This window comes from Homo sapiens, chromosome 2 (genome assembly GCF_000001405.40).
Source record: "Homo sapiens chromosome 2, GRCh38.p14 Primary Assembly".
NCBI lineage: Eukaryota > Metazoa > Chordata > Mammalia > Primates > Hominidae > Homo > Homo sapiens.
Window position 1 is genome coordinate 38150586 of NC_000002.12, and position 14592 is coordinate 38165177.

A 14592-nucleotide genomic window follows, 5' to 3' on the forward strand; every position below is an offset into this window, starting at 1 on the left:
TTGATGGACACTTAGATTGATACTGTATCTTGGCTATTGTGAATAGTGCTGCAATAAACATGGGAGTGCAGGTCTCCCTTTGATATATTGATTTTTTTTCCTTTGGATAAATACCCAGCAGTGGGATTTCTGGATCACATGGTAGTTCTATTTTTAATTTTTTGAGAAACTTCCATAGTGTTTTCTATAATGGCTATACTGATAAATGAATTTAACAAGGTTGCAGAATACAAAATCAACATACATAATCAATAGCATTTCTATATACCAATAATTAACTTGCTGAAGAAGAAATCAAGAAAGTAATCCCATTTAAAATAGCTATAAAAAATTAATTGTCTAGGAATAAATTTAATCAAATTTAATAAATTCTTTCCGATGAAAGAAATTGAAGAAGACACAAACAAATAGACGTTCCATGCTCATGAATTGGAAGAATTAATATTGTTAAAATGACCATACTACCCAAAGTAATCTACAGATTCAATCTCTTATCAAAATACCAATAACATTCTTCACAGAAATAGAAAAATAATCCTGAAGTTTATATGGAACTACAAAACACCCCAAATAGCCAAGCAATACTGAGTAGAAAGAACAAAGTGGTAGGCATTACACAATCTGACTTCAAAATATACTATATTTGGTTACATATAGTAACCAAAATGGCATGATATTTAGTATAAAAAGACATATAGACCAGTGAAACAGAATAGAGAACCCAGAAATAAATCCACGTATTTATAGCAAACTATTTTCAACAAAGGTGCCAAGAACATACACTGGGGAAAAAATACTCTCTTCAATATACGGTGTTGGAAAAACTGGATATCCATATCCGGAAGAATGAAATTGGATCCCTATTTCTCACCATATACAAAAATCAACACAACATGGATTAAAGACGTAAATGTAAGATCTGAAACTATAACACTACTAGAGGAAAACACAGGAGAAATGCTTCAGGACATTGATCTAGGCAAAGATTTTATGGCTAAGACCTCAAAAACACAGGCAGCAATTAAGATCTTTAAACCAAATTTGTTGTAATTTTGTCTTATGACACTAGCAACACAAGTGAATTTAGAACCATTTGTCTGGTCACTTACCGTAGAATTAACCACCTTCAAAACATGTAACGACTTTACCACTTAAACCCTTACCATTTTGTTATGGTCAGGGATACTGTGGGCCAGGTATTCAATAAGGACACAGTAGAAATGGCTTGTCTCTGTTCCACAATGTCTTGGACCTTAGCTGGAAAGAAGCAAAGGCCAATGGTTACTTGATGGCCGGGAGCAAATATCATCTCAAGGCTCCCTTCCTCACAGGTCTGGTTCCTATGCTAATAGGACTCAAAGACGAGGATAGGTGACTCATTACCTACCCATGGCCTCTATACATGGGTTGGTGTTTTCACAACATGGTGGCCTAGGTATTCAGACTCAAGGCTCCAAGAACTAGTGTTCTAGAAAACTAAGAGGAAGCTGCGTCACTTTTTATGATTGAGCCTCAGAAGTCAAGCAGTATCACTTTCCCTACTCTACTGTTTGAACAATTACAAGCCCACTCAGATTCAAGTGGACTCCACGTCTTGATGAGGGGGAACTAAGGTCACAACGTAGAAGAGCACAGACGATAGGAGACACTGGCCATCTTTGGAAAATACAATTTGCCACTCATCATGTGTTAATGCACAGATGAGGAAGTGCTATCTGCTCTTCTCCCCTCCTCAGCTCACCCTGACTTCTGTGTTTCCAGTCCTGATTATTTATAACACATGTTCAATATAACAAGGATGTTTTGAAGCCCAAAGGAGTGAATCCTTTCCTAGCCTTTCAAACCAAGATAAGGAAAAAGTGGAAGAAGACATTAAGACATGCAGCTCTAAGGAACTATCCAAATTACACTAGGTAGATGCCCTGCAGATGTTTAACTTCAAGATTTCCAGAGGCCACGTGTGTGTCAGTATCAGAGAATCAAGTTTACATTCTCAATAAGTAGATGTTGAGAATATACAGCTGATCCCCACTATTTGAAGATTTTTGCATTTGTAAATTTGCCTACTGACTAAAATTTATTTGTAACCCCCAAATCAGTATTCAGAGTTTTTGCAGGCATTTGTAGGCATGCACCAAGTGGCAAAATATTGAGTTACCTTATGTGCACGTCAACAGACGAAGGTGAACAAGGCAATACTCTGCCCTCTTGTTTCCATTCTCATACTGTAAACAAGTGACCTTCTGTGGTCAACCTAGTGCCTTATTTTTCAAACTTTTGTGGTTTTGTTAGCAATTTCACTCTCTAAAAATGACCCTCAAGTCTAGTATTCCTAAAAACAATAAGGCTGTGATGTGCCTTACAGAGAAAATACATGTGTTAGATACACCTTGCTCAGGCATGAGTTAAAGTGCTGTTGGCTGTGAGCTCAGTGCTGATGAATCAACAATATATATTAAGTAAGGCATCTTTAATCAGAAACACACATAAAGTAAGGTTATCTATTGATCAGTTGGCAAAAATGTAACTAGAGGCTCACTGGAACCTAAACCTGCATTTCCCTTAGGAGCAGTGGTTCAATATTTGCTAATTCATTGTTTGCAGTGACTTTATAGAGCATAACTTATATTACAAATAATGAGAATCAACTGTACCGTAGATCAGGACTTTTATAAGCCCTGGAGATACAACAGTGACCAAGCAGACCAAAATCCCTGCTGTCATAGAGTTTATATTCTAGAGGAGAGGGGAAAACATAAATGAAATAAATAAATAAAAGATATGTATGTTAGAAGGTGATAAGTGCTATGGGAAAAAATAAAGCAAGTGATGGGAGGTGGGAGTGGGCATTCAAGGTGGCCTTTTTTGTTGTTGTTACTATTGTTTTCTGTTTCTTTACCAAAAAAAATGGCCAGGGTGGACCTCAATAACAATCAGATAACAGTTGAGACAGCTGGTGAAAGAGATGAGGAAGAACACTAAGCGATTTCCCGGAAGACAGCAGAAAGAACAACCAGTACACAGGCTGAGGATGTAAACAAACCCGCCATGTTGTGGAAACCAGGAGGAGGCTCATGTGCCCAAAATGCAGTCAGTAGGAGATAAGGTCAGAGAAGTAAGAAGGTGTCAACTCAATAGGGCCTGGCAGCCCATTGTAATGACTGGGGCTTTCACACTGAGTGAAAGATGGTAAGCATCCAAGGGAGAAACAGGAGAGCAATTAAAAGAGTGGCAAAAATCTAGACTTGGAGAGTAATTACCACCGATTATAAGAAGTGGTCAGGTTCCAGATGTCTTCAAAGGCAGAGCCAACAGGATTTGCCGGTGGATTGCACGTGTAATTGTGAAAGAAATGATGATGTCAAACATGACTCCAAAGTTTTTGGCCTGAGAAGCTGGAAGTTGCCATTCTAAGACAGAAAAGACTGTAGATCAAGCAGGTTCTGGAGGGGATTTCAATTCTACTCATTTTAAGGTGAGATGTCTACTTAATATCCAAGTGGAAAAATAAGGTAGGCAACTGGATATACAGGGCTGGAATTCAAAGAAGTCCAAACTGGTAATATACATTTTGAGTCCTCAGCATAAAGATGGAATTTAGAGACATGTAACTGAATGAGACCACCAAGGAATCGGTGTAGGAAGAGAAGAGGTTGAAGAATGGAATCCTGAGGCATTCCAGTGTCAAAAGAAGAAATTGAGAAAAGCAGATTGAGAAATGTGGCCTCCTGGAAGCTGGATGAAGAGAGTCTTCCTAGAAAGAGTGAATGATTGTTATGTCAGCATGCCCAGAAGTGGGGTAGGATGAGGACTGGGAAGAGAGAAAGTCCTGATTTGTAGAGTTTGCCAATTTCCATGGCGAAAATACTCCCACCAGAGTTGATTTCAAGCTGTTAATGTGATGTCATTGAATGCAGAGTTTAGAAGAGATGCACACAATTGGCTCTCAGGAGATATTGCAAACTGATCTCAGCAGACATTGCAAGCTGATCTCAGCACACCCCTGACAGCTAATGATATCCATTGCCTCAGCAGGCTTTGGCATCCAAGAGGGAACTAACTGCCCAAGCAAGTCTGAACGTGGCATGGCTGAATCTCTGTCATCTGGACAGGGCCAAGCAACATTTATCTTCAATATGGTAGGCTGGCAACTTTCTCAGAGGGCAGCCCAAGCTGGGCTGGGCAAGAGGGGCTCAGAAAAGGATGTCATGGTCCTTGCAGCCAGACTCATGCTAACTTTTAGCAGAGTGCATTTCAGTAATGAACAGCCTGAGGGATGGTCCCTCAGCCAACACAGAATGCAGACCTCTTTGCAGGCTTCCCAGATCTTCCTGAGCACATCTTTGGTGTCTGATTCAACAATGAGAGGGTCTGACTAGACAGATTTAAGTCTCAGATGGACTTACCGAGCAAGTACACTAAAGTAATCTGGACACTTTAACAAATAAAAGCATAATACTCTCTCTCAAAGAGTTGTTAAAACAAAATCTGATGAGAAACCTTCTTGGAAATAAGTCTCCCGGCTTATGGGAACCTTGTTTCCAAATCTGTTAGTATTCCCGCCCACATCCTGAGAATCCTTTTATGTTCTCTCAGACTCCAGACCCTACTTCATACATTTCCTGCTGCCTAGACTTTATCTTGACTGGCCTGATTACTGATACCATTTGGTTCCAGCCACTTAATTCCCAGCAGCCTGAAATGGCCACATCCCTAAAGCAAAATACCATCGGACTAGGAGGAACATCAACCTGCTTAAATTGTGGGCTCTGCCTTTCATTTACACACAGGAAGAATTTTCCAAGGAGGTTTTTTTTTCCCTTCCCTCTCTGGAAGTCTTTAAATGTGAGATTTTCATTTTTCATAAAATAATAATTAACAAACATACATCGATTACCTACTGAATGCAGCGCACCATACAGGATTCTATAAAACATACAAAGAATAATTAGATGTCTACTTATAATGTAGTTGGGAAATTTGTCATTTTCTTAGATAAAATTCTGACCAATGTGAGTGCCCAGTGAATGTCTCAGAAACCAGGTACTGGAGGACAGTGAGACACAAGAAGCCCACAAAGCTGCAGTCTACAGGATGGATAAGATCAAAGGAAAGGAAAAGGAATCTCCTATTTGCTTGCCACTTCTTTGTGCTAGAACTGTTTTAGACACTACATCTGTTTAATTACATCGCAATACTTCCTATTGCTATAAAAAAGGATTTTCCTACTTCTATGAAAAGAGAGTGTCATTCCTTTTTACAAATGAATCACAGAGTGGTAAAGCACTTAACCAAAATCCACAGAGCCAGTCAGTGGCAGAAGTGGGACCCCAACAGAGGAAAACATCTCCAAAGTCCTATGTTTAACTCTTACTACCACTTCACATTGCTTCCCTTAGACTGAGGAGTCAGTCGAATTGTGCCGCCCCTCTTCCCAAAGATACGTCCGAGTCCTAAATCCCTGTATCTGTAATGGGATCTTATCTGGAAATAGTATTTACAGATGTAATTAAAGTGTCTTGAGATGAGATTATCCTGGAGGTAGGGGCTGGACTGAGGAGCCAAATCCAATGACTGGCATCTTTAGAAGAGAAGGGAAAACAGACCCAGAGACCCAGAGGGAGGGCCATGTGAAGATGAAGGCAGACGTTGGAGTTCTGCACCCCCAAGCCCAAAACACCAAAGACTGCCAGCACCCCGCAGAAGTCTGGAGAAGGGCGTGGAATGAATTCTCCTTCAAGCCTTCAGAATGAACCAACCCTGCCAACACCTTGATTTTTAGACTTTTGACCTTCTCAACTGTGAGAGAATAAATTTCTGTTGCTTTAAGCCACCAAGTTGTTGTGATTTATTATGGCTGCCCTAGGAAACTAATACGGACAGTCAGGATGAGGTCAGTCTGCACAGAGACATGGGGGAAGAAAGAGAAGAAAAGATCACGAAATGTGACTTCTAAAGCTGAGCCAAAATAGGGTTCCTGGGAAGAGGGAGCTATACTCTTTTTGCTGCCAGTGGCAAGTCCTGAACTCCCATGTCTTGGTTTGATTCCAACTAGCGTGTCATAAACTATTCGGTTTGACTCTGAATGCTAACATCTAATCAGTTTCCTCAGCTTGCTGGTTTTGCTGGTTTCTATTGTTTGGGCAAGTTTGAGCTACACAGACACAGCTCCTGGTATACTTGTCCTCAAATATCAGAGAACATCGAATCATTCAGGTGCATCTTTGTGAGCACACTGAAGAGATAAGCTTCTAAGAAATAAAACTGATATCACTGGCAATGCCTACCATTGGTCAAAAGTAACTTCCTCAATAGCTCTTGGTGGTGCCTAGTTCTGTTTTTACATGGAGGCATCAGATAAAATGCAATGATTCCAATAGGATTCAGCTATCATCACCCATTAACAGGTCAGTTCTGAGGGAAGCAGCTCTCTGGGGATTTATTGTGGAATGAGAGAGGAGAGAAAACTTTATAGCCAAAGCAAAACGCAAAGAGATAGATCTATTTGAGAATCCTGGGCATTCAGGAATGTTAGCAAGGAATTGAGGAACAGACTGAAATGAAGATGACAAGGAATGAGAATAAATCATGGTTATGTCCAATTTTTTGTATGTTGGTGTTCAAGAACCATAAGTAGCCACTTACTGAATTCTGATTCGAGCTTACTAAGGACCTACTAAGGACAATGTACCCCATTAGGTGGGTGTACTAGAGCTATAAGGATGAATGAGTTCATCTGCTCATAGCATAAGGAGGCAAACTTTGGGGGTTGGGGGAGGTATATGTTGGGAGTCAGAGTAGAGGAAAGAAAAATGATGCCATATCCCTCAGCTTCTGGGAGGTGATCCCATCAAGAGTGCAGTGGAATTTTTAATGTTGAGAACTCCATGAAGTTCTGTAACCAAGTACCCCCCATTGTTTCTGAGATAGAGAATGAATTATTTTTTATTTTCTCTTCTCTCTTTCCCCCTACTCCCCTGTTCCCCACTTCCTATTTAGCTCTTTAGAAATGCAATGATGATAATATTTTACCTTCCCTCCACCAGACATCCCTACAGGGCAAGCTTATCTGACTATGTGCTTACTTAAAAGCTCCAGGACAGAACTCTGTCCTACCAGGAGATTTCCTCAAAAGACAACAGTCAATACGCAACCTAAAGTACGCCCACTATGAAACCCTCTCCCACCTGGAAAGTATCTCGAGACAAGGCCACTTTACAACCTAGTTCTGCCCGGGATGGTGCCAGCTCGACCACCTGGTAGATAAGGCACAAATCGAGTCATGCAGACCCCCACCTGCTCACGCCCTCCCTTGCATGCCATTCATGCCAAGTCCCCTTTTAAAAGTTTCTGCTTTCTGCTCCAAAAGCAAAGTGGTACCCATAAGGCAGGCAGCCTGTACTTCCCTAAGCTAGCTTTGGAATACAAAATCACATTCCTTATACCAGACTCCGCTCTTGTTCATTGGACTAAGCAGGTGGCAAGTGACTAAACCTGTATTTTGGTTACATTTCTACTGAGAGGAATCCAGGGACACCAATAACAGGCTGAGAGTTGTCTGGCTGCTCAGAGCTCCACACAAAGGTCGGGTATTTGTCAGAGGAGGAAAAGTGTGGCATCTTTATATAGACCAGGGCTCACCGGCATATACTTTGCCATTTCCTGGGAAAGGAAGCTTCTGGCTCCTGGAAAAATGGCAGAAACTTGAACAGAGGATTGGTGAAGTCTTTTGGTTTATGTGGCCAGATAGTACAAGGTTCCTATCAGGAAGAAAAGCACATAGTGTCTTTCTTCACTCCTTTGGGTTTGGGAAACAAAAAAAATACACCAAAGGCAGTGAGGCCACCATAAAACCCAGAGTGGGGGCAGAGGACAGGATGCTGGGGAGTTCAGGGGAAGGGCTCTTCTGAGGTCTGAGTTTCCCTGTATCTGCGCATTTATCCCAACTGAACTTTTCCACGGGAGTGCTTCTGGCCTCCTCTCAGCCTAACCTCCCCACCTCTCCACATCCTGAGCAAAGGTTCCATGTGAATGAGCCCAGATGGAAAAACACTGGAGGAGTTTTTCTTTGTCACTACAGGCAGGAAGAAAATGGCAAATGGAGACAATTATTTGCTGAATTTGGTCTCCGTAGACTCATACTTTTTGCTTAGTTTTCATTATTTGAGGATAAAGATTGCTTTTAGGCCTAAGAGACTCAGCTAACTGGACAATTTTTCAGTTCATTTTTGAGAAGTAGGCATGGCCTTGGGAGAACATTTTTTACCCTCTCCGCACTCTCATTCCATCTCACATACAAATACATTAAGAAAATGAAGCCAACTGAAGCAGAGGTCAGGAGTGAAAGAAAAGTTGATATAAGAGCTTCAGCAACAGCAGCTGGCCCCAGGCACTAGCGGCTGATAAAGGAAACTCTGGGCAGAAGAGCCTGAGATGAATGGGATATTAGTGAGAGGAGCTGAGCCGGTCACATAGCCAAGTTTTGCAGGAGGAAAAAAGAGAATGGGAAATTAATTATAATCAATTCCTACTAAAACCCTGAGAATTGGAGACAACACATAGGCTATTGAGAGGGCGATTTCTCCTAATTCTTTCTGCAAGGTCTTAGAGTGCTTCTTACCCACAACAGAAGGTACGAGAACCTCTGCCAAGCATATGGAATTGCCAACTTCAAGTCAGGAGAACTTACTTGTGAGCCTCCTGGAGATGGTTATGTGGACACAGATGATGGGTTTTCTTTCTGTTTAGTAAGGAGTTCAGTAAGGAGTAAACCTATGTTTGTTTGGTTCTCATACTCGTCTCTACTCCCTGCTGATATTTCCCTTGGCAGAAAATGAGTGCACTGACCAAGCCAAATGCAAGCAATAAATCCGGTGGCACTTTATATCGTATTAACTCCAGAGAGGAGTTAGAAGGCCTCAAGACAATCATGCCTATCGTGATATTGGAGGTTCGCTGTTTGGAGGGCAGACCAAAACCTGGAGGGGTCTAGATATGAGGATCAGAGGCTGAGAAAGGGTATTGGGGTAGGGAGTGACTCCAACTTTGCTTTCAGCCACCCTTCTCAGAGGACAGTGGGCAGACCAGCAAAACCATTCTGGAGGGAAAGCCAAAAAAATTAGGGTTCCAGGAAGGCTGAAAATGAAGGCGGCCTTTTCTAATAAAGTGAACAGGATCAAGAGGCTGCCAAATGCTGCTCACTCCAACCCCTTTTATTGGCAGTGAAGCAAGTCAAATACTTACTAGGAACACTAGCCCTTTCTTAGAAGCGACTCTTGTTGAAAAAAACATCCTGTGCTTTGCGAAGTGATTTGTCCCTGAAGAACTCTATGAGTAAAAGAGACTCTAGCTGTGACTTTGGCCAAGTCAGGTGGTCTTGCTACTGATGAGGGGGCTGAATCCTGAGCATTCTCTTTGATACGGAAAATAAAACGGACTAGGGGAGAAGGTATAGAATGTAACGCACTAGGGGTTTTTTGGAGGGAGGATAATCTCTGGGCAGTTCCCTACTCTTGAAACCTAGCCTGGAATGGGCTTTCACCTCTGTGCTATTTATACTAAAACTGAATTGGCCTTAGGGATGGGATGGAAAGTAATTAGGATTCCCTATTACCTGATGATTTTGAACCCAAACTATTCCCTTGTGGACACAAATGGGTATGGTGGAGTCAAATGCATTCCGTGAATTCTTCCCCTATTGTTTTAATCAAAGCACCGATTTTAGCACAGACTCATGTGCCAAACAAACTATTGAAAAACTACTGTGATACACATTTAATGAGATGATCTAAAGTGTTTCTGGGGGCTTGTCATGGGACTGCTGAGGTGGTCTCCAGGGATGCTTAGAGGAAGGATATGGGAAGTGAGACATGTGGGTTGAATTGCCCCACTCCTAATAAGGCTGATAAATTGAAAAACCAAGGTATAGAAGTGACCTTTTACGTTCTGGGGCAACTTTTCATCTGTGCTTAACGAGAGAAATGAAAATCGGATGGATTTCCACTGAAAATTTCATGTCACGATTTCATGTGAATGATCTAATATCTAGCTTTCCCCAGGAGCCAGTGAATTATATATCCAGCTGTGGAAACTGAAAACACCATGAGGCTGCTCATGTTAGGCACCTGCTGTAGAGAAAGACCTTTCGCATTTGGGAGGAGGGGCAGAAGGCTTGTTTGTAAAACAGCCTGGTGTGATGCTCTTTTCTGAGCATTTTTCTCTTGCTCTCTCTGCCTTGCCTGAGTTGTCTCTTCTCAGTGACTTTAGGAGACATACCTTTGGGCTATCTTCATAAATCTTTTGCTATGAATCAGGATTTAAATCATTAGGGTTTTCACTCATGCCATTTAGGATACTGAAAACAAGTGTGCACTTTTCAGACATTCTGTCTTACACCTGTAGGTCACAAGTCTTTCATGCCTATGGTATTTTGTTACAGTCTATATGGTTTACTGTTGCATCTCTCAATCCATTGAAGTCTATTCCCTAAAAACTTCTAGGCATGGAGTAAATGTCAATTACAAATGACCAGAATTTAACAACAAAAAATTTCTAGGCAGGAATGTTACAGCCCATCTTCAGTTCTGGAGGAAAGCTGGGATAGTTCATAAAATAATTCTGTCTGATTTGTTTCTATGAGAATCTGTGTTTAGGGTATTTTCAGGAGAGAGGAATACACTTACTTGCTCTAAGGCCACACATCTTAAACCGAGATACATCTACTCTGGGAGGTTTGCAGCTGGAGTTTTCAGCTGAACTTTTAAAAACTTTGTTTAAAATAAGTTGCTTTACATTGGAACTTAATATCCTCAGTGGATTGAGATCGACATTCTGGGAATTGAAATTGTGTCTGGAGAAGAGAAAGGAGCAATGTTGCATTTTGCAGTAGAGGCAGATGGGCTAGGCAGGGATGGGGGAAGTCTTCTGAAAGGAAAGCAGTGAACAGTTGGGGAGGGGTTCAGAAATGGAGCTAGGGGACCAACCACAGAAAGGGTGGCCTACTTTGGGATTTTTCTAGCTGCAGCATAAATCTAGTACATCTTTTTATATTGAAACTAAATACAGATATGAAATAGAGCTTCATCTGGCAATGGCCTCATGAGTGTTGGGCAAAGCTGCCTTCTTCTGAGGCTGTTTCCTTCAGGCACGGGCTTGGGCTCCTCTTCTCATTCCCTCAAGCCCCACTCTCTCAACTCAGGTGCCTTTGTCAGCTTGACATAAGATCCTTTAATAAACCTAATGGCAAACATCAACGGGAAGCAAAAAATCCAGATCTCAACTATGGCATGAATAGTTGCAAAAGATCTAACTAAAGCCACCCAGCCACAGTGTGGCTTCCTTTCTGCACAAGTATTCTTGCTTCCTAAAAAAGGACCAACCTGGCTGGGAACGCTGGCTCACGCCTGTAATACCAGCACTTTGGGAGCCTGACGTGGGTGAATCACGAGGTATGGAGTTCAAGACCAGCCTGGTCAAGATGTGAAAACCCGTCTCTACTAAAACTACAAAAATGAGCCAGGTATGGTGGCGGGCACCCGTAATCTCAGCTACTCGGGAGGCTGAGGCAGGGAATTGCTTGAACCCGGGAGGCGGAGCTTGCAGTGAGCCGAGATCGCGCCACTGCACTCCAACCTGGGAGACACAGCGAGACTCCGTCTCAAAAAAAAAAAAAAAAAAAAAAAAAGGACCATCCTATACCCCATTCTCAGCACGTCATTCAGGTACTGGACAGACCTTAGTCTTAAAACCAGCATGCCTGGAGTGGGCTCTTACCCTCTATGGGCCTCAGCTATGGGGGGAAGAAAAGAAAAAAAAAAAAAAAAGCGTTAAACTAGGGACTCACCAAGGGCCCTTCCAGCTCTAGCTCTCTTCAATTCTACATACAGCATTAAAGAATTTCAGGATATATCTCCCTGGCTTGTTGTTAGTCTCTTTTTACTTTCTCCAACTTTCCCTAAAGCAGGGAATAGCAAAGAATAGCAAAGAAACTTGGTGCTGATCTGCAGAGAGAGCCTCTCCTCAATCAGAGATTCTGAGCCAAGGGGTTTGTGTGACCTTTGGAACTCAACCACAAAGCCCTGGAAGAACTGGTTACCACCAGGACCCTAGAGAACAATCCCAATATAAGCCACACTTTCTCTTGTTGTTCTCCTATCTCCATTTTTGAACCTCTCCCCAACCTTTTACTGCCTTGCCATCTAAGTCTACTGTAAAAATACAACATTTCTCCTTTCTCCTCTCTGTCCCAGGCAAAATTTCTATTCCTAGGATGTTGATCTCAATCTGCTAAGAATATTATGTTCTAATGTAAAGCAACTCTTTTTAAACACAGAGCTCAACTCAAAACAATCTTCAGTGATCTACCAAAAAGGAAGATATTTTGAATAAGAGACTTCCTTCAGATGAAATCAGTATAATTAATTCAAATCCCATCCATCCTCTCTTTATATAATCAAACTTCACAGCAGGACAGAGATAATATGGGTTAGCCAAGAAGAGAAAAGTTTTCAGTCCTAGAAGAAAGAAGGTCTCTGCTATCACCTCATAATAGCTTTGGGGCTACTCCCTCCAAGATCATAGAGCTCGTCAGCATAAATCATAGAGGAGCTGTTTGCATGCAGCAGAGGGACCCAGAGTGCCACCTGGCATGGTCCAACCTAAGAACCTAGGTGAGAAGCATGGGAAGCCAGGGGTTGCCATGAGAATAAAGGTAAAGAGACACAGTTTGTCTAATTCTTGGGTTTGCTTGGGGTCAGCTCTGCGTGTCGAAATACCCCCTTCCACCAATTTTCTAGGCTTGGCTTGACTCCACTTACACTCCCGTAGATTTCAGCTATCATCCCTGCTTCCCTCTTGGGAGTTTTTTTTTTCCTCTTGGGAGTGTTATTTAGGCTGGGGAGAACTTAATGCAGTCATCATGTTGATTCATTTTCACAAATACTTATTAAATGTCTGCTTTTGCACAGCTCTGTGGAAGGGCCAGAGTGGTATATAATGCATGATCTCTGACTTAAAGGAACTTGAAAGTAACCTGTGCCCTAACTTTGTTACCGACAGGGAATGATTTTGGAGGTTCTGGGAGAAGCAATCTGTTAGGTTGGTGCAAATGCAATTGCTGTTTTTGTCATTAAAAGTAATGGCAAAAACTGCAATTACATTTGCACAAACCTGACACTCCTGACACCTGAGAGCCAACTGCCAATCATTCCAGGATACACTGTGTGCACTTTGCTTTCTCACTGCAATCTTCTTTAAGCATTCATCTATCTCTCAATTTCCATCTAATTGAAACTGTGGCAGCAGCATTAGCAGCTGGTGGTGGTGGAAGACCTCCTGATTCCAGAAATTTCCCAGGGTGGCCCCCTACAGTTTGGATCTGCTGAGGAGCATGTGGAAATTCAAAGGCATGCTCTCTTATGGAGAACAGTTTGTTGGCAAAACATTGCCCGTTTGCTGCACATCTGTAAACTGAAGTAGACCTGTCTTTCTCGACACATTAAAAACTGGTCAAAAGCTTCACTGGCTAATTAGGTTAGTGATATGGTTTAGCTGTGTCCCCACCCAAATTTCATCTTGAACTGTAGCCCCCATAATCCCCACATGTCATGGGAGGGACCCAGTGGGAGGTAACTGAATCACAGTGGCAGGTTTTTCCCGTGCTGTTGCCATGACAGTGAATAAGTCTCACCAGATCTGAGGGCTTTATAAAGGGCAGTTCCTCTGCATATGCCCTCTTGCCTATCGCCATGTAAGACATGGCTTTGCTCCTCCTTTGCCTTCTGCCATGATTATGAGGCCTCCCCAGCCATGTCGAAATGTGAATCTGTTAAACTTCTTTTTCTTTATAAATCACCCAGTCTCGGGTATTTCTTCACAGCCGTAGGAAAATGGACTAATACAATTAGTTGCAAAATTAGGTTAATCACCTTCTCATTGAATGTAACTTCATCACATATATATAAATGATATATAGTGTACTTCATATAAAAATGGTTATATATACATACACACATATATATATATATATATATATATATAATGGTTTGTGTACCTTCCCTGAGAATGTGGGCAACTGGAGAACTCTGGCCATGGGTGCAAAAGGGCCTCCCTTGCTGTTCCATGATGGTGCTCCCTCAGGCCCCTCTTCATCTCTCCTCTCCAGCCCCTCACCCTCTGCCTGGGCTCAGGCCCTCATCTTCTTTTTCTTAGATTACCTATTCCAACAGCCTCCAAGCCTGTCTGCTGCAAATCCAGTCTGTTTACAACTTACATCTGACCATGTTTCTCCCCTGCCTCAGAGCTCCCTGAGACTCCCCATTCCCCAGAAGAGAACATCTGAGAAGCCTTACAAAGTGCTGTCTGCCTCTTCAATATCACTTCTGCCAACCTGCTGCCTTGCAGATGGGCAAGAAGTCCCTCACACACCCCAAGCTGTTGCTCAGCTTTGTGGCTTTGCAACTGCTGTCACCTTTTGCCCTCTGCCTATGCTTCATTTGGTTAACCCTACTCATCCGTGAAGGCTCGGCCAGGGGACTTCCCTGGCTGATTGCTCCCAAAATATGCTGTGATGGATAGCACCATCAGTGTGCTTCC

At 42.3% G+C, this 14592-nt stretch overlaps 2 long non-coding RNA genes across 2 annotated transcripts in view; one reads left to right on the plus strand and one right to left on the minus strand.

The window, feature by feature from the left end:
* Positions 1 to 14592, minus strand: part of LOC107985871 (uncharacterized) — a 62078-nt gene that overhangs the window by 40270 nt on the left and 7216 nt on the right. The window contains exon 2 of the long non-coding RNA XR_001739413.2: positions 1164 to 1257. This is a non-coding gene — a long non-coding RNA (uncharacterized LOC107985871). The remainder of the gene's footprint in view (positions 1 to 1163; positions 1258 to 14592) is intronic.
* Positions 1 to 14592, plus strand: part of CYP1B1-AS1 (CYP1B1 antisense RNA 1) — a 50751-nt gene that overhangs the window by 19481 nt on the left and 16678 nt on the right. The window lies entirely within an intron of this gene.